Source organism: Homo sapiens, chromosome 7 (genome assembly GCF_000001405.40).
Source record: "Homo sapiens chromosome 7, GRCh38.p14 Primary Assembly".
NCBI lineage: Eukaryota > Metazoa > Chordata > Mammalia > Primates > Hominidae > Homo > Homo sapiens.
Window position 1 is genome coordinate 139,406,099 of NC_000007.14, and position 23,221 is coordinate 139,429,319.

General features: G+C 39.5%; 3 protein-coding genes and 1 long non-coding RNA gene across 6 annotated transcripts in view, besides 2 other annotated features; 2 read left to right on the plus strand and 2 right to left on the minus strand.

Moving 5' to 3' along the window:
• LUC7L2 (LUC7 like 2, pre-mRNA splicing factor) overlaps nucleotides 1-17,356 on the plus strand; it is an 82,983-nt gene extending 65,627 nt beyond the window's left edge. For all 3 annotated transcript variants that reach the window (NM_001244585.2, NM_001270643.2, NM_016019.5), the window contains 5 exons: nucleotides 1,076-1,252; nucleotides 3,465-3,556; nucleotides 6,453-6,482; nucleotides 11,440-11,631; nucleotides 16,065-17,356. In NM_001244585.2, coding sequence (NP_001231514.1) covers nucleotides 1,076-1,252; nucleotides 3,465-3,556; nucleotides 6,453-6,482; nucleotides 11,440-11,631; nucleotides 16,065-16,242 — 669 coding nt within the window. In that variant the 3' untranslated portion in view covers nucleotides 16,243-17,356. The remainder of the gene's footprint in view (nucleotides 1-1,075; nucleotides 1,253-3,464; nucleotides 3,557-6,452; nucleotides 6,483-11,439; nucleotides 11,632-16,064) is intronic.
• FMC1-LUC7L2 (FMC1-LUC7L2 readthrough) overlaps nucleotides 1-17,356 on the plus strand; it is an 82,118-nt gene extending 64,762 nt beyond the window's left edge. Inside the window, exons 7-11 of the mRNA NM_001244584.3 lie at nucleotides 1,076-1,252; nucleotides 3,465-3,556; nucleotides 6,453-6,482; nucleotides 11,440-11,631; nucleotides 16,065-17,356. Of these exons, the coding sequence (NP_001231513.1) occupies nucleotides 1,076-1,252; nucleotides 3,465-3,556; nucleotides 6,453-6,482; nucleotides 11,440-11,631; nucleotides 16,065-16,242 (669 nt within the window). The 3' untranslated portion in view covers nucleotides 16,243-17,356. The remainder of the gene's footprint in view (nucleotides 1-1,075; nucleotides 1,253-3,464; nucleotides 3,557-6,452; nucleotides 6,483-11,439; nucleotides 11,632-16,064) is intronic.
• Nucleotides 4,631-4,831: a silencer, noted in NCBI's record as "peak6781 fragment used in MPRA reporter construct". NCBI's record gives its function as "represses an SCP1 promoter by STARR-seq MPRAs in K562 erythroleukemia cells {active_cell/tissue: K562}" and the evidence as "EXISTENCE:reporter gene assay evidence [ECO:0000049][PMID:32103011]".
• Nucleotides 11,364-21,428, minus strand: LOC100129148 (uncharacterized). Its single transcript, NR_033999.1, has 3 exons — nucleotides 21,303-21,428; nucleotides 17,187-17,287; nucleotides 11,364-11,597 (listed from the first exon to the last, which is right to left on the minus strand). It is a non-coding gene; the product is annotated as an uncharacterized LOC100129148 (long non-coding RNA).
• Nucleotides 20,670-21,306: an enhancer, noted in NCBI's record as "H3K27ac-H3K4me1 hESC enhancer chr7:139111514-139112150 (GRCh37/hg19 assembly coordinates)". NCBI's record gives its function as "activates a minimal SCP1, AML or CMV promoter by ChIP-STARR-seq in primed H9 embryonic stem cells {active_cell/tissue: H9 hESC(primed)}" and the evidence as "EXISTENCE:reporter gene assay evidence [ECO:0000049][PMID:30033119]".
• The window catches only part of KLRG2 (killer cell lectin like receptor G2), a 56,576-nt gene continuing 54,354 nt past the window's right edge, over nucleotides 21,000-23,221 (minus strand). Inside the window, exon 4 of the mRNA XM_011516141.3 lies at nucleotides 21,000-21,464. Within this exon, the coding sequence (XP_011514443.1) occupies nucleotides 21,435-21,464 (30 nt within the window). The 3' untranslated portion in view covers nucleotides 21,000-21,434. The remainder of the gene's footprint in view (nucleotides 21,465-23,221) is intronic.

The following is a 23,221-nucleotide window of genomic DNA, read 5'->3' on the forward strand; positions in this document are numbered from 1 at the left end:
AGGAGTGCAATGGCATGATCTCAGCTCACCGCAACCTCTGCCTCCCGGGTTCAAGCGATTCTCCTGCCTCAGCCTCCCAAGTAGCTGGGATTACAGGCCCATGCCACCACACCTGGCTAATATTTATATTTTTAGTAGAGACAGGGTTTCTCCATGTTGGTCAGGCTGGTCTTGAACACCCAACCTCAGGTGATCCACCTGCCTCGGCCTCCCAAAGTGCTAGGATTACAGGCATGAACCACTGCACCAGGGCCTTTTTTTTTTTTTTTTTTAAGACAGAGTCTTACTCTCTCTCCAAGGCTGGAGTGTAGTGGTGCGATCTCAGCTCACTGAAACCTCTGCTTCCTGGGTTCAGGCGATTCTCTTGCCTCAGCCTGCTGAGTAGCTGGGACTACAGGTGTGCACCACCATGCCCGGCTAATTTTTTGTATTTTTAGTAGAGATAGGCTTTCACCATGTTGGCCAGGCTGGTCTTGAACTCCTGACCTGGGGTGATCTGTCCACCTCAGCCTCCCAAAGTGCTGGGATTACAGGCGTGAGCCACCCGGCCTGGCCTGTTTTTTTGTTGTTGTTGTTTTTTAAAATACTTTTGGTAAATTTGTCTTTCAGAAAATCTCTCTAAGTTGTATTTATTGATATAAAGTTGTTCATAGTGTTCTCTTTTAATATCTGTAGAATGTTTGCAATTCGTGTCTTTTCTTAATTAATCTAGCTGGTCAGTTTTATTTTGTTTTTCAAAGAACCAGTCTTCTGATTTTATTGTTTTTTTCTTGTTTTCTATTTCATTGATTTCTGTTCATGTTTATTATTTCCTTATACTCCAGTGGAGAGAGGCGCTAAGGATAGAGGATGGGGATAAAGGGAACCTATAATTTTCATAACAAAATAGCCATGCTTTTGTGGTTTTTTTTTTTTTTTTTTTTTGAGCTGGAGTCTCGCCCCAGTGAGCCACCGTGCCCAGCCACTTTTGTGTATTTTTTAGAAAACACTTTTGGTATAAGCATAGTATATTTTATTTAATTGTATGACTTTTAGTGAGATTTATATGGTCATTGTTTTTCTCACTTTTGTTTAGGAAGTTTATCGGAATTCTATGCCAGCTTCCAGTTTTCAGCAGCAGAAACTTCGAGTCTGTGAAGTCTGCTCTGCCTATTTAGGACTTCATGATAATGACAGACGACTGGCTGATCATTTTGGGGGTAAACTGCACCTGGGATTTATTGAAATAAGAGAGAAGCTTGAAGAATTAAAGGTACATTGGTAAAATATTCCTCACTTTATCCTCTTGTTCTTTTGATCTGTATCAGTTGCCTTTTTGTACAATATTCTTGACTATGATTCAGTAATATAGTATCTAATGATTAATACTAAACAGTGTAGGATTATAGATGGAAATTCAAGTTGGTTTAATGGATGCTGCCTGAGAAACAGACTTAATATTATCCTGTTATTTTGGGAGTTACCATTTTATATTAGATATGACACCGAGTTAGGGATCTTTCAAACTAGTTACTAAAAGAGTCCCATAAAACTTCATTGTTATTGTTCTTTTCAATAAGGTCAATAAGAATGTAATAATATAATATTTATAAGAAGTTTGAGAAAATGAACCCAATATTAATTTGAAATATTTTGCAATTCTTTATTAAATAGCAAGCTTGCAGAATCTCTAGTTTTATTTTATGCTCCTGCTTCCACTTCAGAAAGGACTTATGAAAAAATTTATATTTTTTTAAAAGGACAATCACTATTACTTAAATAATATAGGCTTTTGTGGGGAAGACAACACAGTTTTTACTCTTGTTGTTTAGAGGGGATAAACACAAAAAAGCATGGTGATATTTCTGAAGTGGTAAAGATGAGTGTTGGTGGATATAATCTATTTACCTTTTAATATGCTGATAGCTTTTTAAGAATTGTGGCACTGTAGTGTTTTTTCATGAATTGAGGTCTGGCTGACAGATAGGAAACATGGGATAGTCATTTTCTTTGTAACTGTTATTGTCAACTGGAATTAACTCAAGGTCCATAGCATTTAAAATAATATAGAATCAGAAAATGCCTAGGGACATCTCCATATTCTCAGGTAACAGTGGGCTCTTTTCAGTATTCTGAGTAGCTAGGGTGATCTCAAGTAATTTTTTAAAAATTTCGAAAAGAGTCACTATAGCAAATAGTTACTAGGCTCCAAGTTAAAACTCCAGTGGTTCCTACTTGGGAGTCTTTGCAGATAGACCTAGCAACAGAACTCAAGCATTTTACTCATATCTTTAAAAAGCAGCAGCATCAGGATGGTAATTGGAAGTGACCTAAATATTTCCATATTAGAAATCACAGGGCATGGGAACTTGTGATTTATAATGGTTGATGTTTTTTTAAAAAATACAAAATAATACTAGAAAACATTTAGAGGAGGAAAATCTTGTAGAAGTGACTTGGAAATGTCATTAAGAAATCATGAAAGGCTAGGCGCAGTGGCTCACGCCTGTAATCCTAGCACTTTGGGAGGCCAAGGCGGGCGGATCACAAGGTCAGGAGTTCGAGACCAGTCTGGCCAATATGGTGAAATCCTGTCTCTACTAAAAATATAAAAATTAGCTGGGTGTGGTGGCATGTGCCTGTAGTCCCAGCTACTCTGGAGACTGAGGCAGGAGAATCACTTGAACCCGGGAGGTGGAGGTTGCAGTGAGCTGAGATTGTGCCACTGCACTCCAACCTGGGCGACAGAGCGAGACTCTGTCTCAAAAAAAAAAAAAAAAAGTCATGGAGCTGGGTATGGTGGCTTATGCCTGTAATCCCAGCACTTTGGGATGCCAAGGTGGCCAGATCACTTGAGGCCAGGAGTTGGAGACCAGCCTGGGCAACATGGTGAAACCCCATCTCCACTAAAAAATATTAATAGAAAAATTAGCTGGGTGTGGTGATGCACGCCTGTAATCCCAGCTCCTCAGGTGGCTGAGGCTGGCAGGTGGAGGTTGCAGTGAGCCGAGATGGTGCTACTGCACTCCAGTCTGGGCAACAGAGTAAGACTGTCTCTAAAAAAAAAATAATAAGATCATAGGCCAGTCTCAGTGGCTCGCACCTGTTAATTCCAACACTTTGGGAGGCTGAGGTGGGAGGATCACTGGAGCCCAGGAGTTGTAGACCCATCTGGGCAACATAGCGAGATTCTGTCTCTATTTTAAAATAATTTGTTTTCACTTAAAAAAAAAAACAAAAAAAAAAACCAAGTAGAAATCATGGAGAAAGGTGAAATTTTACACATTTTCCACAAAATGGGGAAAGATTATGGAAAGAAGACTTGTAGGCCTAATGATTATTTCTGGCAGTACTTCAAATTGAATTATTAAACAGATTTTGACAGCAGTTGTACTGTATTAGAAACCAGATAATATAAAGTTTAGGATAAAGCTGTTTAAGAATGGACTCAGTAAATATTCTCCTCATTTATTACTGTTTTTAAGAGAGTCGTAGCTGAGAAGCAGGAGAAAAGAAACCAGGAACGGCTGAAACGAAGAGAAGAGAGAGAGAGAGAAGAAAGGGAGAAGCTGAGGAGGTATGGAGTAATGGGCCAAGTAATTGAAGTTGAATCTCTGTGGTTCTAAAAAGAGATATAATTGATTTTAAATTTTAGATGGTGATAAATCTGTTATGGGACGTGGGAAACTTCTGCTTACTTTAAAAAATATTACTGTGCGAATTATATAAATGTTTAATTATACAAGTATCGTAACTCTTGGCCATTTAACGGAATGTGATTTCCTTTAAAATGTGTGGAAGAGTGAATAAAGAATGCTTCGTATCTTGTAAGATTTATAACAAAATCCAGCCGGGCATGGTGGCTCACGCCTGTAATTCCAGCACTTTGGGAGGCCGAGGCGGGTGGATCACGAGGTCAGGAGATCGAGACCATCCTGGCTAACACGGTGAAACCCCGACTCTACTAAAAATACAAAAAATTAGCTGGGCGAGGTGGCGGGCGCCTGTAGTCCCAGCTGCGCGGGAGGCTGAGGCAGGAGAATGGCGTGAACCTGGGGGGGCAGAGCCTGCAGTGAGCTGAGATCGGGCCACTGCACTCCAGCCTGGGCGACAGCGAGACTCTGTCTCAAAAAAAAAAAAAGATTTATAACAAAATCCTTTTCTAGCCCTTTGATTTTTCATATTGGGCTAGATTTGCACCAGGTTAGCATAGAATTATTATTTTTTTTTTATGATGTATTTTGTTAACAAAAGGTTTAAGGGTGGTTGTTTCATTGAAGGGTTTTTTTTACATTGAACTTTGGTTAGTTCCTCAATTCTAGGAGCCATAAACTATTAAAAAGTCTAAAAATATCTAAATGTATATAATTCCTCTTACATTGGTATTCATTAATTGATAAAATCTTAGAATTCTAGTATTTGGAATGTCTAAACATTCTTCTGAGTCACTTTTACCATTGGCAGCTAAAATCACATAGCATCATGGTGGCAACATTTTTTTGTAACTCATCTTTTTAACTTCAGCAGCTTTAGGATGGACAGTTATATCACAAATGATTTGCCTGTAGTCCTAATTTATAGTGTTCCTTGAATCATACTACATTTAAATGTCTTAAATTTAAATACCTTCTCTTTAGAGTTAGCAGATGTGCTTAAGCTAATTAAAACCCTTTGTAGTATTAGGTTATGCTCACTTCCTTCGATCTTTGAGCATATTATATACTCAGTATATTTCAAGAAGTTTAAACAGACTTCGTTTGTGTCACATGGCTTATAACCAGGTAATCTTTTTGCACCATAAAGACAGTGAAACAAAACTACATGTCTATATGGTCCCTTTTTAGGAGAAGTGATGTCAGTCCTCTATTGAGAGAGAGAGATTTCTTCATTTACTGTAAAGTTTACCTCAGAGCTTTTATCTACTTGTTCTTTTGTGTATAGTAAGTCCTTATGGGAATATTGCCCAGTATTCTAATATATAAGTGGAATTTTCAGTAATATTGGGAATCTCATTTTAAGATTCAATTGAGGTGACAGTAACATGGAACAGAATTTCTTTGCAGGACTACATTTTCACATTTGTAGATGATGAAAAAGTATATCACATCTTACTCCTTTGTTTGCCAAATGGCAAGTTTCTTTTGACAGTGATTATATAATGCAAATTTCAGAAACATTAAAAAAAAGTCGTTGAATCTGTGAGCTTAAAGAAATATGGAAGTATGGAAGATGAGGAAATTAGAAACTAGTATAAAATTATATAAGATGGGATAAAAGAAAAAAATCATAATCATTTACTGGGTGCTTATTGTATGCCAGACACTGTAGTAAGGAATTTATCCATATTCATCTAATCTTTATAAACCCCACCCCCACTCCACCCCAGTAAAATTTATATTAGTATCCCTCTTTTGCTAGTGACAGAGTAAGCTGAGAGAGGATATGTAACTTACTTAGGTCACACAGACAGTGAATGGTAGAACCAGAAATAAAACTCAAATCTGGCTGATCTCAAAGTCATGCTTTCAACAATGCTATATATCATCCAAAAAAAAATAATAATCCCTGTGGTGTCCTACTAGCCATAATATTCACTTTACATTTCATTGAGCGTTACCTGTGTGCTAGGAAATGTGACAAGTGCCTTAAGTAGAGTATCTCATTTCATTTGAAGAAACACATTGTAAGATTGAACTAGGTGTTCTAGAGATTATAGTATGAGGTTGTAGCTCCAAGAGTATGTAGATCTCAGACCATAGAAATTTCACTCTTTTCCCAGAAGGGAAAAAAGAAATGACAGATATAAAAGAATTTTTTCCAAGCTGGTAAGTGGTTTCTGGAAAATTAGCAAGTTGTGATATGTAGGTTGAGCATCCCAAATCCAAAAAATGAAATCCAGTGAGCTTCAAAATCTGAAACTTCTTGAGTGCTGGCAGCATTTAAAGGAGATGCTTATTAGGGCATTTCAGATTTTGGTTTCTGGATTTAGGGATGCTGAACCAGTAAATTATAATGCAGACACTTCAAATTTTGAAAAAAATCGGCCACCTGTAATCCCAGCACTTCGGAAGGCCAAGGTGGTTGGATCATTTGCATCCAGGAGTTCAAGACCACCCTAGGCAACAAAAAATGTAAAAATTAAAAAAAAAAAAAACAAAAACAAAAAACAGAAAAAATCCGAAACACTTATGATCCTTAGCGTTTCGGAGAAGGAGTACTCAACCTGTACTGTGTTTTAATCTCCTAGGAACATATTCTTTAAGAGCCAGGTATTCTTGAGTTAAGCAAACCCTGCAAGGTGAAGAAATCTGTCGAGTTTGTGGTGTCTTTTGGAAAATTTTGTGTGCGTAGGTACACGCCTTGTATTTATAAAATTAATGTAAACATTAGAAATCAGGAAGAATATAATGTAACACTGCACTGTTTTCTTATTTATAGCCACTTTTCTAAAAATACATATTTTTTTTTTTTAGGTCCCGATCACACAGCAAGAATCCAAAAAGGTAGGTGTATTACATAAGACAGGTATAAGTAGTGAAGTTGTCTTTTTCAAAGGTAGTTTTTATAGATTGATTAAATGGTCCTTTAAAAATTTTCTTTTTTGGCTGGGCACGGTGATGCATGCTTGTAATCCCAGCTACTCAAGAGGCTGAGGCAGAATTGCTTGAAGCCGGGAGGCAGAGGTTGCAGTGAGCCAAGATAGCACCACTGCACTCCAGCCTGGGCAACAGAATAGGACTCTGTCTTTAAAAAAAAAAAAAAAAAAAAAAAGAAAATTTTTTTTGAAATCATTTAGATGCTCAGAGTAGATACGTAAAAGGATTAATTTTTTAAAAATCAATTTGGGTGGTACATTTAGGAAACATGTTCTAAGAGGTTGTAGCTGTTGAAAACATTAGTAGGTTAATAGTTGGATAAAATTTTGATTGATCCACTGTGGGTTAAGCAAAACCAAAATGTTTAGTATACCCTCCAGTCTTGACTTTATGTGAGTTTATTACCCATTCCTTTATACAGTGATCACAGAAGGCTTTCAGAGAGGCATTTGCAGCCTTAAAAGAGCAAGACAATACTTTGTTTTGACTTTCAGCGTTAATATTTGGGGTTTGAAACCTTTCTTTGTAGTTTTTGCTAGTTGCTGATACATTTTTTTGTCTGAGAAAGGCAGGGAAATGTGTTGTACTTCATCATTCTTTCTCAGTTCTTCACTTGCCCTTCTCATTCCAGTCGTTGAGCTTTCTTCATGGATCCATTCCCACCTAGAATGCCCTTTCTCAGTCTTTTCCAAATTCTACCATTCCTCTTGTTCAGATCACATCTTCTTTTAGAAACTTTCTGAGTTCTCAGCTCTAGAGACTATTTCCCAAGAAGTTTTCCCTAAAAAGTAGAGAATTTGTTGTTATGAAAGAAAAACCTGGCTGAGCGCAGTGCCTCACGCTTATACCATCACAGCTCTTTGGGAGGCCGAGGCAGCCAGATCACCTGAAGTCAGGAGTTCGAGACCAGCCTGGCCAACATGGCGAAACTCCATCTCTACTAAAAACACAAAAATTAGCCGGGTGTGGTGGCAGGTGCCTGTAATCCCAGCTACTTGAGAGGCTGAGGCAGGAGAATCACTTGAACCCAGGAGGTGGAGGTTACAGTAAGCCGAGATTGTGCCACTGCATTCCAGCTTGGGTGACAGAGTAAGACTGTCTCAAAAAAAGAAAAACAAAAACCTTACAGTTCTGTTAGCAACATCTATCAATGATATTTCTGCCTAAAACACTAAAAAAACTAAAGAACATTAATAAGTGGGGCCAGTTGTGTCAGCTAATTTATATTATTGGTGAATTTCTCTGATCTAGCATGATAAGTAGAAACATTAAACTGTGATACTGTTATTGTTTACTGTTTGATTAATATAAGCTGGTCCCTTTGTTGAAAACATAAAGTATTGCACATAGAACATCTTTAGATATTTGGGCCAGAAATTTAATTTCTATTCCTCTAGTCCTGTTACCTAGATAATATGTTTGCCTTGTAACTGGGCTCCTTAGTTCTCTGTGCTTGCCCACCCCCCTTCTTCACCTCATTCTATTTTTCACACGTCAGCCAGGATGAGCCTTTAAATAAATGAAATACATCACATCAGCCCTCTGATTCTCCAAAGGTTTTTCATCTCATTCATATGAGAAGTTAACATCTTTACCAAAGCTTTTACATAGGGTGACGGTGTGGCCTGGGGTGTCCAATCTTTTGGCTTACCTGGGCCACACATCAGATACACTAATGATAACTGATGAGCTGGAAAAAAAATTGCAAAGAAATCTCATAATATTTTAAGAAAGTTTACAAATTTGTGTTGGGCTGTATTCAAAGCCATCCTGGGCAGCATGCGGCTTGGAGGCCGCAGGTTGGACAAGCTTGGCATAGCCCAAACTGCCCTGGGATAGTTCTGGTTTATGTCTTTTATCCCAGAATATGTATTAATAGCTTCTCATTACATTCAGTAACTTATTCAGAGCCTTCTAGTTTGAATGATAAAGTACCTGGTCATCCTGCCTGTAAGACCCTGATATTACTTCCTTTTGCTCACTTCATTCCAGCCACACTGGTCTTTTCCTTCAACATGCTGAGCTTTTTCCCACCTCAGGGACTTTGCATCTGTGTTCCCTCAGCCTGAAGCACTCCTCTCTGAGATGACTGATTCACTTGTTCCCTTTCTTCTTTCAGCTTTGCTTCAGTGCCAACCTATCAGAAAAGCCTTCCCTGCTTATTCCGTATAAATATTTCCACTCTTTTCTCTTTTTCCACTCTACGTAATAACATCTTTTAATTTTTTTTTGAGACGGAGTCTTGCTCTGTTGCCCAGGCTGGAGTGCAGTGGCAAAATGCCAGCTCACTGCAACCTCCGCCTCCCAGGTTCAAGTGATTCTTCTACCTTAGGCTCCCTAGTAGCTAGGATTATAGGCACGTGCCACCATGCCCTGCTAAGTTTTTTTTTTTTTTTTTTTTTTTTTTTTTGTATTTTTAGTAGAGTAGGGGTTTCACCATGTTGGCCAGGCTGGTCTTGAACTCCTGACCTCAAGTGATCCGCCTGCCTCAGCCTTCCAAAGTGTTGGGATTACAGGCATGAGTCACCATGTCCAGCAATAGATCTTTTTTTTTTTTCTTAACCACCTGACATATCTTTATTTACTGCCTACAAACCTGTATAGATCCCTTTCTATAGTATAAGCACTAAGTTTAGTGCAGGAACTTTGTTTTACTTGCTACTCAACCTCCCCTAGTATAGAACAGTGCAAAAATACCTAGTGAATATTTTTTGGATGAAAAAATTACCTAGAATTTTTAAAAAGATGAATAAAGTTATACATTGGAAGAAATGGCATTCATAATAACTCAAAATGAGTGGTTAAACGAAGTATGATTTGATAAAACTTACACTGAGAGTTTTATATTTTTTCCCTCTGCTTCCTTTTGGAATTACTCTTTTCAGCTGTGGAAATAACGCTTTTTTTTTTTTTTTTTTTTTGAGACAGGGTCTCACTCTGTCCTGAGTAGCTGGGACCACAGGCGTGTGCCACCATGTCCAGCTAATTTTTAAAAATTTATTGTAGATACGGGGTCTCCCTATGTTGCTCAGGCTGGTCTTGAACTCCTCCCGTTTAAGGATTAAGCAGTCCTCCCATTGTGGCCTCCCCAAGTGCTGGGATTACAGACACAAGCTATTGTGCCCAGCCAGAAATACTCTTTTTAAGTGTGGCTAAAGCTACGTCCATGTCATGTACCTTTCTTTGACTATAATGTTGACATAAGCTGAATGCCTTTTAGCATCGTTCATAACAATCAGTTGAAGATAAACTGTATTTGTAAACTATCTCATATGTATAATATGATTTTGAACTTGCTGTATCAAATTATGAGCAAACCTCACATTCTTAAAGTGACTTAAATTTAAGAGTTTTATTGAGGTATAAAATATATATATATATATATATATATATATATATATATATATATATATATATGATTTACTCTGAAGTCAGTGATTTTTTAGCAGATTTAAAGCTGTGCAACTATCACCATAATCCAGTTGAGAACATTTCCATCATTCTTAAAGTGACTCTTCTAACAAAGTTGCATTCCTTTGTTTCCCCTTGTTTTCTGTCAAACGTTTATGTCCTCTCCATGCCATTTCCACCCTCACCATGCACCCCCACCCACCCCACAAGTTAGTTTGTGACCTGGTGGAGGCTATAAAAGTGTCTTACCTTGTGGGTTTTTTTCTTTTCAAAAAATGTCTTTATTTTGCCAGCACCTTGATCGTATATTTTCTGGTTTTTCAGAATGTTTTTCGTTCTCTATTTCTGTGTATTCATTAGAAATACATTTTTTTTGCAATCTGAGTCAAGTTCTCAAAAATGATTTTCGCAAGTGTTCTTTCTCCCAAACTGTTTGCTCCTTGAATAGAGAACTGTCTTACTGTGTTTGTTTTGTCTTGCTCTCTATTGCCCAGGCTGGAATGCAGTGGTGTGAACACAGCTCCCTGTAGCCTTGACTTCCTGGGCTTGGGTGATCATCCTTCCTTAGCCTCCCAAAGTGCTGGGATTAAAGGCGTGAGCTACTACCCCTGGCCCTTACTCTGTTTTGATTACACTGTGACTAGACATGCATATTGTGGGCATTAAAAACTTACTTCTATGGTTATCTCACCTTTCTAATTCAGACAAAGAGTAATTTGTCCTGACGTATTCTTCCTCATCTCTTCTCTTCCCTTCTGTCCAGGTCTGTCAGGTACATATTTAATTTCTAGAGGATACAAAAATGTTCAAGATATTTAAGTGCAATTAAATTCATAACAAATCTAGATAATATAGCCCCTGGCATATAGTAGTGGTTCAAAAGTTGCTTTCACTTGAAAAACTATTTCTGATAATAAATTTATACATTACTGATTGCTCTCTGAGAATTATCAATCAGTGTCTTGTTTTTGAGACAGAATTTCACTCTTTTGCCCAGGCTGGACTGCAGCGATGTGATCACCAGGTCATTGCAGCAGCCTTGACCTCCCTGGCTCAAGAGATTCTCTCACCTCAGCTTCCTGAGTAGCTGGGACTACAGGCATGTGCCTCTGTGTCCAGCTAATTTTTGTATGTTTTATAGAGACAGAGTTTCGCCATGTTGCCTAGGCTGGTCTTGAAATCCTGAGCTCAAGCGATCCTCCTGCCTCAGACTCCCAAAGTGTTGGGATTACAGGTGTGAGCCACGGCGCCTGGCTGAGAATTATTAATGTTTTATTTTGAATTCTAGTATGTAGTTATTAACACACCAGCAATTCAGTGTAGATTTAGCTGACTTGGAATATAATTGACATTAAGACTACTGAAAAAAAGTTTCTCTTTAAAGAAAAGGCTTTAATAAATGAGAAATATAGTAATTACAAAGGTAGAAACAAAATCAAATCTTGTCTGGTAGATCCAGGTCCAGAGAGCATCGCAGACATCGATCTCGCTCCATGTCACGTGAACGCAAGAGGAGAACTCGATCCAAATCTCGGGAGAAACGCCATCGCCACAGGTCCCGCTCCAGCAGCCGTAGCCGCAGCCGTAGCCACCAGAGAAGTCGGCACAGTTCTAGAGATAGGAGCAGAGAACGATCCAAGAGGAGGTATTGATGTGTCAATCAGAGGATATGGAGCTACCTTAATGTTTTAGAGTTGTTTATGTTTACTTATGTTACTTATGTTTAGAGTTCAGATTATTGGTTTGAAACTTTTGCATCTGGTAATATGTACACATTTATGTGTGGGTGTACAACATTTTTCTGTGATTATATGGGTAGTTTTGAAAGAATATACTTATGAGCCAGAGCAAGAAATTGGAACCAATATGTGTAGAGGTTATTGCTTTTCTCTGCTTAGTGTGTCTTGGAAAAAAGTTCTTTACAGGTAAATAATTTTAAATACCAATACCCTTAGTATGGATCAGCAAATTAGGGGCTCTGAGAAGTCCTTTCATTACAAGAGTTGTTTAGCTTTGATTTATTGTTTTCTAAACTTATTTGAGCTGGGATGCTTTTTCAGAGCAGACACATTCTAGTATATTCTTGTTTTATCTGCACTATAGATATGTATTGTTACATACCTTCAGCTTGGCAAGGCAGACTAATAAGGAGGTTCCAAGACTTCCCTTGGTTTAATGAGAACATTCAAAAGGTGCAGGCATAGGGTAAGGTATGTTTGAGGACTTGAATATCTATTAAGGATAGACAAAGGATTATAATGTGGTAGAAGAGTTTAGCATTCATAGTCTGTATAGATCAAACTGTCAAAACTTCTCAGGTCACATGATGGCCCTTAAACCAGGTAATTTCTGTGTAACGTAAGCCATGTTTAAAATTGCTTTTTTCTTGACAACTATTCAGAAGTATATGTATGATAAACATTTTTTGAGTGCCTAGTACCTACTAGTCTTACATATTCTGTGGATTACTCCACATAAAATCTATAATAAAATCCACAGAAAGCTGTTAAAATCTTTCCTATTTTTTTTTGACTCAACTTTCCATTCCCTGAAATCACTCACAAGCTGAGTTTGTTAATAGGCTCTCAATATTTTATTTCTTATATTCTGGCCTTGTTTTTAGTATTTCTTAAGGTGATTTTAATAATAATTAATTGTATATGTTTTACTGTACTAGACTTAGTAAAACATAAGAAAGACGTATAACATAGTTGAACAACTTTAAGTTGCTCTAAGAAGTTTCCTATGTGAGGCTGGGTGCCATGGCTCACGCTTATAATCCCAGCACTTTGGGAGACCGAGATGGGCGTATCACTTGAGATCAGGAGTTCAAGACCAGCCTGGCCAACCAACCCCATCTCTACTAAAATACAAACATTAGCCGGGCATGGTGGCACATGCCTGTAATCCCAGCTACTCAGGAGGCTGAGGAAGGAGAATTGCTTGAACACAAAGGTGGAGGTTGCAGTGAGCCAAGATCGCACCACTGCACTCCAGCCTGGGTGACAGAGCGAGACTCCAGCTCTCAAAACAAAAAAAAACAAACAAAAAAAAAAACAAAAAGTCTCCTATGTGAGTTAGAACAAAGGATTGACATCTTTGACAATAATTAGACTGGCATAAGACTACCACATGTTATAAAGTGCTAAACTGCATATCATAGAATAAATGATCCGAGAGTTTAGATGAGGCAAATAACAGAGTAATCAAAAATGGCTTCAGGTAGTCGGTAAAATTTGAACAGGTAGAATCAGCTAGGAAAAAGATATTCCATATAGAGTGAATATCCTAGGCAAATGCAGAGAATGAGGAGGGAGTTTGTAAAGGACAGAGTGATTTGTAGGCCTCTTATCTCACACTCTTGAAACTGATTTTGGGGGTCTACCCTCAGTGCAGTGTTCAGAAATAAGCATTTTTTAAAAGTTACCTGTCTTATCTGCACAATGAATTTTCAGAATTATCCTGCTAGGTGATGGAAGGTTTAGACATTTTCCTGTGTCAAATCTGCCCAACTGTCATTGTTGTTGCTGAACTCCTAAATGTCTTTATTGGTGATGGGTATGGGAAGGATGGGCGTGAAGTCCCCTAATCTGAGATTGTGTTATTTTAGTCCCTGATGCTTCCTGCGTTGATGAAGTTGTATAGGAATTTTTCCACCATACATGATACATGATCATATCTAAGATGTCAGCATGTTCATAAAGAGGATTATTTTTGTAAAACTATTAAAAGTTTTGCTTTTCTCGAGCACTTTCTCATCTTTGAATTCAAATTATTCTCTTTTAAAGCATCATTCTTTGTTTTATACTAAAAATTACCAGATAATTGCTGTTAAAACCTACTTGGTATTTCATACAACATCAAGTTATTGCTACATATTTGGGTTTAATTTTTCAAGGTAAAAGTTCTTATTGAAAGCCTTTTATGTTTTGCTGTTCTCCTTTCCCTACTGTGAAATACTTGTCTCTGATACAAGTAGATTCTTTGTGACCTCTTCCTGGCAATAGTGCCCTGCGTAAATGAGGACCATTTGCATCTATCTATCTTTTTGCTCTGTTCAAACATGTTTAGTGCAGACTCCAAAGTCAGATTACTTGGGTTCATTGGTTTAGGCTAAGTAATTTATTTTTTTTTTTGAGACGAGAGTCTCGTTCTGTCACCCAGGCTGGAGGGCAGTGGCGCGATCTCGGCTCGTTGCAACCTCTGCCTTGCGGGTTCAAGCGATTCTTTTGCCTCGGCCTCCCAAGTAGCTGGGATTACAGGCCCAGGCCACCACACCTGGCTATTTTTGTATTTTTAGTAGGGACAGGGTTACGCCATGTTGGCCGGGCTGGTCTCAAACTCCCGACCTCAGGTGATCCACCTGCCTTGGCCTCCCAAAATGCTGGGATTACAGGCATGAGCCACCACGTCCCACCTTGGCTAAGTAATTTATAACTATCTCACCTGTCTTTCCCCATCTACTAAGTGGAGAAAGTAAGAATACCTGCTTTGTTAAGATTATTGGTAGTTTGAGTAAAATAGTATATGGAAACCACTATGTGTGGGACATAGTAGTTGATACTCATAGTTTTTTAGTTATTACTGATCACTGGGACTGTTTGGCATCTAGTGTCTTTTTAGGTATCATTTTTACCATCTCTTTTCATATTTTATTCCAACAAAGGCTATGGATAGGACTAGTGTAGACGTGGAATCACTAGACTTGGCACTGTGATTTTTTGTTGTTGTTGAGATGGAGTCTTGCTCTGTCACCCAGGCTGGAGTGCAGTAATGCGATCTGGGCTCACTGCAGCCTCCGCCTCCCAGGTTCAAGTGATTCTCCTGCCTCAGCCTCCCGAGTAGCTGGGACTACAGGCACACGCCACCACTCTCAGCTAATTTTTTGTATTTTAAGTAGAGACGGGGGTTTCACTATGTTGGCTAGGCTGGTCTTGAACTCCTGACCTCAAGTGATCTGCCTGCCTTGGCCTCCCAAAGTGCTGGGATTACAGGCGTGAGTCACCGTGCCCAGTCTTTTTATATCATTTTAAGTTTATTAAAACATTAAGTAGAATGTTCAAAGTGGACATTATTTTAGAACCATTTTTTGTTTAACCCTCCTTAACTATATTTCTAAAACTGAACAGTCATATTTTTTATTTTCCTGAAAGTATTACTTATTCAGGTTCTTGGTAGTGCCTCAGATCCTAATTTTGAATATGGGTTGAGTGAGATAATTATGTAAAAGTGCTGTGTCACCTGTAAAGAACCAAATAAATGTAATTTGTTGAATTTTAGATGTTGGAAGTATGGAAGATTCCATGTTTATTCTGATTCCATAATATGTTTGGTTTTCCGATTGATTTATTATTTACCTTTCTTATAATGAAGTTGGGTATGGGAATGGAGAAGGTAGTAAACAGTTATGGCTAATCAAGATTTATTAGTGTGAGCATCTTTGTCTTTTTTTATTTCCCCTTGTTGGTTGAATAAGCTAACTCAGTATGAGTAGATTTTTAGAAGTGGTTATTTAAATTCATATTAATAATTGAGTAGTTCTCTTATCTAAGTCAGGTGTTGGCAAACTGTTGCCGATAGGCCAAATCTGGCCGGTAGCCTGTACAACCAGCAAGCTATGGATGGTTTTTACATTCTAAAAAGAAAAGAACTGCCACAAAGATTGCATGGACCTGCAGTACCCCAGATAGTCACCATCTGGCCCCTATTCTAAGCCATTTAAAATTTAGATAATACATTTCTTTCACTTTTTAAAGCTGTTATCTATGTATTATTTTTTATATTAAAATACCTTTTATGAATTGGAGAAACTCTGTGTTGTCTCTGAGATGAGAGTAGCCTGTAAGAAATTATTTTAGCCTTCTGACCCTCTGCTATTTGTTTTTCACCCATCTTCTTGTTTTAATGCCCTTATCAACTATGGTAGTGCTCTGTAATTTGTCAGAAAACTGACTCCTCTGTCATGGGTATATTCGTCTATATATCTTCAGCTATCAAGAGCTTAATATTTATCCTATTCTTTAATTTGGGTTTTTGGGTTTCCCAACATATTTTGCTCCTCAAATTAATATTTTTCAGATCCTCAAAAGAAAGATTCAGAGACCAAGACTTAGCATCATGTGACAGAGACAGGAGTTCAAGAGACAGATCACCTCGTGACAGAGATCGGAAAGATAAGAAGCGGTCCTATGAGAGTGCTAATGGCAGATCAGAAGACAGGAGGAGCTCTGAAGAGCGCGAAGCAGGGGAGATCTAACTAGCTGTGTACATTTCTTCAGTCCTTAAGCTTCCTACGGAGTTACGTACTATTGTTTAGTTCACAGCTGTTCAGGGTGACAGTGAGCAGATCCAGACACCAGATCCAGCTAGGCTAGATGTACAGTATCTAACTTGATCTGAACTGAACCTGTTTTCCTTGATGATGCCTAAAACTACATCCATAGTTTCTGGTGAACCTGTAATACAGTTCTGAAAGTACAGTTTTATATAATAAGATGCTGATCTCTTTATTCTTTCAAGTAAGAGTGCTAGTGAACAAATTGTGTTACTTGCCTTGGGATTTTTTGAACGTTTGTAAAATGCTGTCTTCCTAGTCCAAACAGCTGCAGCTTTGGGCATTTTTCTTTTTAATTATTCTTCCTCTGACTTTGTATCCCTTAATACCTACACTCTCCAATTGTAAGAGAAAGGGGGCAGGGAAGCAATATAGCTTCCATTCTAAGGCTGTATTCCCGTTATGAATTACTAGCTGATTACAGTTCAGAGCATTGATCCTGGAATGTGTGCTGGAGAAATTTAAAATACTGGGGTTTTTTGTTTAATGGTGCCTATTTAGAGTTGGAAGTTGAACAGCTGTTGCATTACATACTTTTGCTTTTTTATTGAAATTTTGAAATCAAACGTCTTGATTTTTCTGTTCTGTTGAATTGCTATGTTCAGGATGTTCTAGGGGGTGGGGGCAGGGACTCTTTTCGTAATAAGCACTTGTTTTATTTTGTGTGTGTGGAGTATAAAGGCTACACCCTTATTGTAAAAAAATAATAATAATAAAATGAAAGAAACAATCACCACCACCATTATTAAACTGTAACTTGTCTAGTAAATTGTCACTAGAACTATTTGCTGTGGGCATTTCCTCTATTCTGTTACGTCATTAACAGTGCCTTACTGTGCAAGGCACCAAAGGACATAAATACGTACTTGCAAAGATTCCAGATGAGCTGTTCATGTGGGCCCCTTGCTGACTATATTCCAGCCACTTCAGGGTTGTTTGTAATGACCGTTATAGAGAAGGGCTCGACCTGCAGAAGAAACTGGGGTGTTTTTATTCTCATTCAACAAACCCAAATAAAAACAGTATATGTAACCAACATAATGAGACTTAAGTTTCTGCCTTGAAGAGTTGTATATCCGTTAGTAACTTAAACTGTAATTGGCAGGTATCACTTGTGATTCTGGAAATTCTGAGGAACACAGATTCCTTAAGTAATGAAATTAGTATCTGTGGGTATCATTAACTAAGGTCACCTTTCAAGAACTGTTAATGTCCTTTGTCCCCAAGTTTGACAGATTTGATGTCAGAGGCATGTGGGCCTCTGTGAAGGTGCTGAGAGAATGGGAAACTAAGGCCATTCTAAGTGATACCAGATTACGTTAAAAACCCTCATCAAGTTCCCAATTTACCAAGCTATGCCTCATTAACTGAGGGTTTTCTGCTGTATTTGGTTCCACACATGCAATTTATATGGCATTTAATCTGAGAGACCCATCTGCCTCAGTGGCCCATTTCCCTTTTATTTTTGGTTGCTAAGAAATGTTTTGTATCTCCTTTGTTCCGGGTAGTCTGTGCTGTTCTAAATCCTTACAAGCACTTCAGATTTCGTACATTGGGGTTCGGAGTAAGATCAAAAGGACTAGCTGGTTGGTGTGAGGAAGAATGTCTGGGACCTGGCCCATTATAATAGTATATCTGGACTTAGATTTTGAACTCTAAAGCATATGTACAGTTGGAATGGAACACTTGTAGAAGTAACACAGGTCTATATATCAATGGTTACTGCAGCTGTGGTTTCTAGATGGTATAGGCTGCCCCAACATGAACAGGGCATAAAGCGCACCATCACTGTGGGGCTGCGTGCCACAGCGGACCACTTCAACCGCATGGCTCTTTACATGATTGATGCCACTGAATTAGAATAAAATCTCAAATCTTAATATCACTTTCTCATACACAATTTTTGGTCTTTCTGTGTTGGTGACTGGTAGAAAGCATAAGTAAGTATATTGTATTTGCAAAAAACTTTTGTCCCTCTGGGGAGTGTTTTGCTAAGTTTTTACCTTCAGTAAGGTTTCCTTCATTTTGCTGTCATCAAGTATTACCCTAAAGCTCCTTTGCTGAGCTTATCAACACCAACTAAAACTAAGGAAAAAAGCCTCCTTAAATAGGTATGTTTTTTATTTTTTTGAGACGGAGTTTCACTCTTGTTGCCCAGGCTGGAGTGCAATGGTGCAATCTCAGCTCACTGCAACTTCCGCCTCCTGGGTTCAAGCAATTCTTCTGCCTCAGCCTCCCGAGTAGCTGGGATTATAGACGTGCACCACCACGTCCGGCTAATTTTTGTATTTTTAGTAGAGACGGGGTTTCGCCGTGTTGCCCAGGCTGGTCTTGAACTGCTGGCCTCAGGTGATAGGCCCGCCTCGGCCTCCCAAAGTGCTGGGAGTATAAGGCATGAGCAACCCCTCCCTGCCCTACCCCTGCCAGGCTTGTTTTTTTTTTTTTTTTTTTTGTTTTTTGTTTTTTTTTTGTTTTTTTTTTTGTTTTTTTTTTTTTTGAGACGGAGTCTCGCTCTGTCGCCCAGGCCGGACTGCGGACTGCAGTGGCGCAATCTCGGCTCACTGCAAGCTCCGCTTCCCGGGTTCACGCCATTCTCCTGCCTCAGCCTCCCGAGTAGCTGGGACTACAGGCGCCCGCCACCGCGCCCGGCTAATTTTTTGTATTTTTTTTTAGTAGAGACGGGGTTTCACCTTGTTAGCCAGGATGGTCTCGATCTCCTGACCTCATGATCCACCCGCCTCGGCCTCCCAAAGTGCTGGGATTACAGGCGTGAGCCACCGCGCCCGGCCCAGGCTTGTTTTTTAAACAAAGACTTTCTTACCTGTGATTATTAGACCTAAAACCAATATACCTTTATCTTTTCCAAGTTCCCTCTTTCCCCTCCATGTTACATTTTAAGCATCTATTTTTAGTGATAGCTTTCAACATTGGCCTTTTGAGCCATCGCCCAGTATGCATTACAATTTCCACAAACACTTTTGCCATTTGATGTCGTAAATTCTTTCAAAATGGTTTTTAGGTAATGATTATGTACATCATTTAAGTTTTTCCGAATAAATGCTGATTATAATTGTTAAATGTTCATAGGTTTTTTTTTTTTTTTTTTTTTTTTTTTTAATGTAAGGTCTTCCTGTGTCACCAAGCTAGAGCACAGTGGCATGATCTTAGCTCACTGCAACCTCAATGTCCTGGGCACAAGTGATCTTCCCACTTCACCCTCCCAAGGAGCTGGGATTATAGGCACGTACCACCATGCCCAGCTAATTAAAAAAAAAAAATGTGTAGAGGCCGGATATGGTGACTCATGCCTGTAATCTCAGCATTTTGGGAGGCCGAGGCAGGCAGATCACTTGAGGTCAGGAGTTCAAGACCAGCCTGGCCAACATGGTGAAACCCCATCTCTACTGAAAAAAAAAAAAAATTAGCCAGGTATGGTAGCACACACCTGTAGTCTCAGCTATTCGGGAGGCTTAAGGCACGAGAATCGTTTGAACCCGGGAGGCAGAGGCTGCAGTGAGCCGAGATCGCACTCCAGTCTGGGCAACAGTGTGAGACTTCATCTCAAAAAACAAAACAAAATTACCGGGCATGGTGGCACATGCCTGTAATCCCAGCTACTCCAGAGACTGAGGCAGGAGAATCACTTGAACCCTGGAGGGGTTGCAGTGAGCCGAGATGGTGCCACTGCACCCCAGCCTGGGCGACAAGAGTAAAACTCCCATCTCAAAAAAAAAAAAAAAAAAAAAAAATTGTAGAGATGGAGTCTTGCTTTATTGCCCAGGCTGGTCTACAACTCCTGGGCTCAAGCAATTCTCCCACCTCAGCCTCCCAAGGTGCTGAGATTACAGACATGAGCCACCACATCCAGCCCATTTATGGATTTTTTAGCTTTAAAAATCTAAGTAAATATTACATATTTTTAAAAAAAAACCCACATGCCTAATGTGGATGTTCAGCTTTTACGGCTATCCCACTTGTGAAACCATTGAAACATGTCCCTTCAAGTGGTAAATTAGCTGCTGCCCTGGGCTAGTTGAGTGCCTGCCGCCAACGCAAGACCAGCAAGCACAGCCAGGAACGTCCAGAATTAGTTCACTACCACATGCTGTACTGACTTAAATAGTTTGAAACACATTCTTGTCTGTTTTGTATCTGAAAAAGCAGAAGCTATTTGATGTAATAATGATTTTCTTTCAAAAATGGTTTTTAGGTAATGGTTATCTACCTTTAAGTTTTTTCAAATAAATGCTATGGGGTTTGTTTTTTGTTTTTCTTTCTTTTTTTTTTTTTTTTTTTTTTAAGACAGGGTCTCACTGTGTTGCCCAGGCTGGCGTGCAGTGGCGCAATCTCGGCTCACTACAGCCTCAACATCCTGGGCTCAGGCGATCTTTTCACCTCAGGCCCCTGAGTAGCTGGGACGACAGGTGTGTACCACCATGCCTGACTAGTTTTAGTAGAGACAGGGTTTCATTGTGTTGGCAAAGCTGATCTCCAACTCCTGAGCCCCAGCGATCTGCCTGCATCAGCCTCCTAGAGTGCTGGGACTACAGGTGTATGCCACTGCGCCCAGCCTACATCACGATTTTATTATATCTTGACTGTTGATAATTAAAATTTCCTGGGATATAAATAAGGCAATATGAAGTTGCCCTTTCTCAGTATTTTTCTTTGTACTGCCTGTTATTTGAAAAAGCATTTTCTCCCTCAGGGGAGTTAGGAAAGGTTAGAGAGCTGAGAGAACAGGGTTTCCCTGGGCAGAGGCCGAGTAGGGGAGAGCAGGCAGGGGTCTGTCAGCAGAGTAGTACTGGGGCCATGCATGAGTGGGGCCTTGGGGGCTCTAGGGTCAGCAGGCAGCACACTGGCATGTTCTCCAGGTAGCAGCAGAAACATTAGGGTGTTAGAGGTTTGGGGTCTGCAGGCATATCTGGGGATCAGAACAAGCTAATGGCCAGCATTGGCTGAAGCAAGGCTTTGAGACTCACAGAATTGGGCTGTCAGTCAAGCAGGGATCTAAGAGATGGGGCCAGCCAAGCAGAAGTCAAAGGCTGGTGCCAGCATCAAAATCTGCTCTGATGCTCCTTTGGGAGACTGATTCTTCAAGTCTCAAATGCTGTTCACACCTGTCTCTGGATGCTGTTGGCTACCTGTAAAAGAAAATACATTCAAATGGGCTTAAACTCTGAAGGGACCTTAGCAGCTCGTGTGATTGAGTTGCATGCCAGCTCCATATCTTGGACTAGCATCTGAGCCCTATATCCATATGAAGAGAAACCATTTCATCTTGTGTCTCTTAAGAGCAAGGCAACTTTTCCCAGAACCTCTCGCAACCTTTTTCTCACATCTCTGTCCCTGGCACAGAGACCTACATAGACGATGCCCGATGAATGTGGAATGAATGAATGAAGTGCCTCATGTTTTCCAACATAAATTAACTCACACGATCTCATTTGATTTGTATAGCAATCCTGTGGTTACTCGAAGGGACCATATTCTATCACCATCATGCCCGTTTTTCGGAGTAGGAAGCTGAGGCATGCTGAGTGACTAATAGGACAGAGTCAGCCGACACCTTTTTGATTCTAAGTGAAAGGCTCTTTCTGGCATAAAGTATTGTGACAGGTAGGATTCAGCTGGGAGTGGCAAGAAGGGAGGGAGCAACAGAAATGTCCATTACAAAAAAGACTGAAATGAATGAAGCAGGATGATAACTGCAAGTACTGTCCCATTTCCAGCACCTTTTATTCTAGTCTCATGGTATCTCTCAAGCTGATTGTAACAGATAAAAAACCGATAGTTATCCAAATAACATGGTATATAGGAGTTACCATTTTTTGTTTTTTGTTTTCAGACAGGGTCTCACCATGTTGCCCAGGCTGGGGTGCAGTGGTGCACATGGCTTTCTATAGTTTTGACCTCCTGGACTCAAGTAATCCTCCTGCCTCAGCCTCCTGAATAGCCCTGCCCCCACCCACCACCCTCCCACTCAGCTAATTTTTTAAAAAATTTTTTAAATTTTTTTTTGCAGAGATGGGATCACACTATGTTTCCCAGGCTGGTCTCAAACCCCTGAGCTCAAGTGATCCTCCCACCTTGGCTTCCCAAAGTGCTGGGAGTATAGGTATGAGCTACCCTGCCTGGCCAGTTACATTTTTTGATTTCTTGATATTTTTGTTCAGAAAGTTTAATTTACTTGAAATCAATATGACAATCTACTAGGTAATGAAACACAAAGGAGACTGAAGAGATGATAATCAGTAAAAGGGCTTGAACTCTGATTGGATCTTTGTTTAAAAGGCTGGAATAATGAGAAATTAGGATATGGATTGAATATGAATTTATTGTTAATTTTATTAGGTATAATGGTGGAATTGCCATTACATAGAAGAATATTCTTAGGAGATAAGTGCTAAAGTATTTAAGGATGAAGCATCTGGATGTCTGCAGCTTACTTTTAAATAGTTCAACAATTTGATAAACACATAAAGAGCGGGTGTAACAAATTGTTCACTGTTAGATCTAAGTAGATCACTGGTTTTTCAACTTTTGTGTATTTTTGAAAATTTTCACAAAGTTAGGGGGAGGAACTCTTAGATTTTCCATTTAAATAATCACTTTAGGCCAGGCGTGGTGGCTTACGCCTGTAATCCCAGGCTGAGGTGAGTGGATCACGTGAGTTCAGGAGTTCAAGACCAGCCTGGCCAACACGGTGAAACTCCATTTCTACTAAAAATACAAAAATTAGCCAGACGTGGTGGCGCGCACCTGTAATTGCAACTACTCTGGAGGCTGAGGCACGAGAATTGCTTTAATCCTGGAAGTGGAGGTTGCAGTGGGCTGAGATTTTGCCACTGCACTCCAGCCTGGGTGACAGAGCAAGACCCTGTCTCAAAAAATAAGTAAA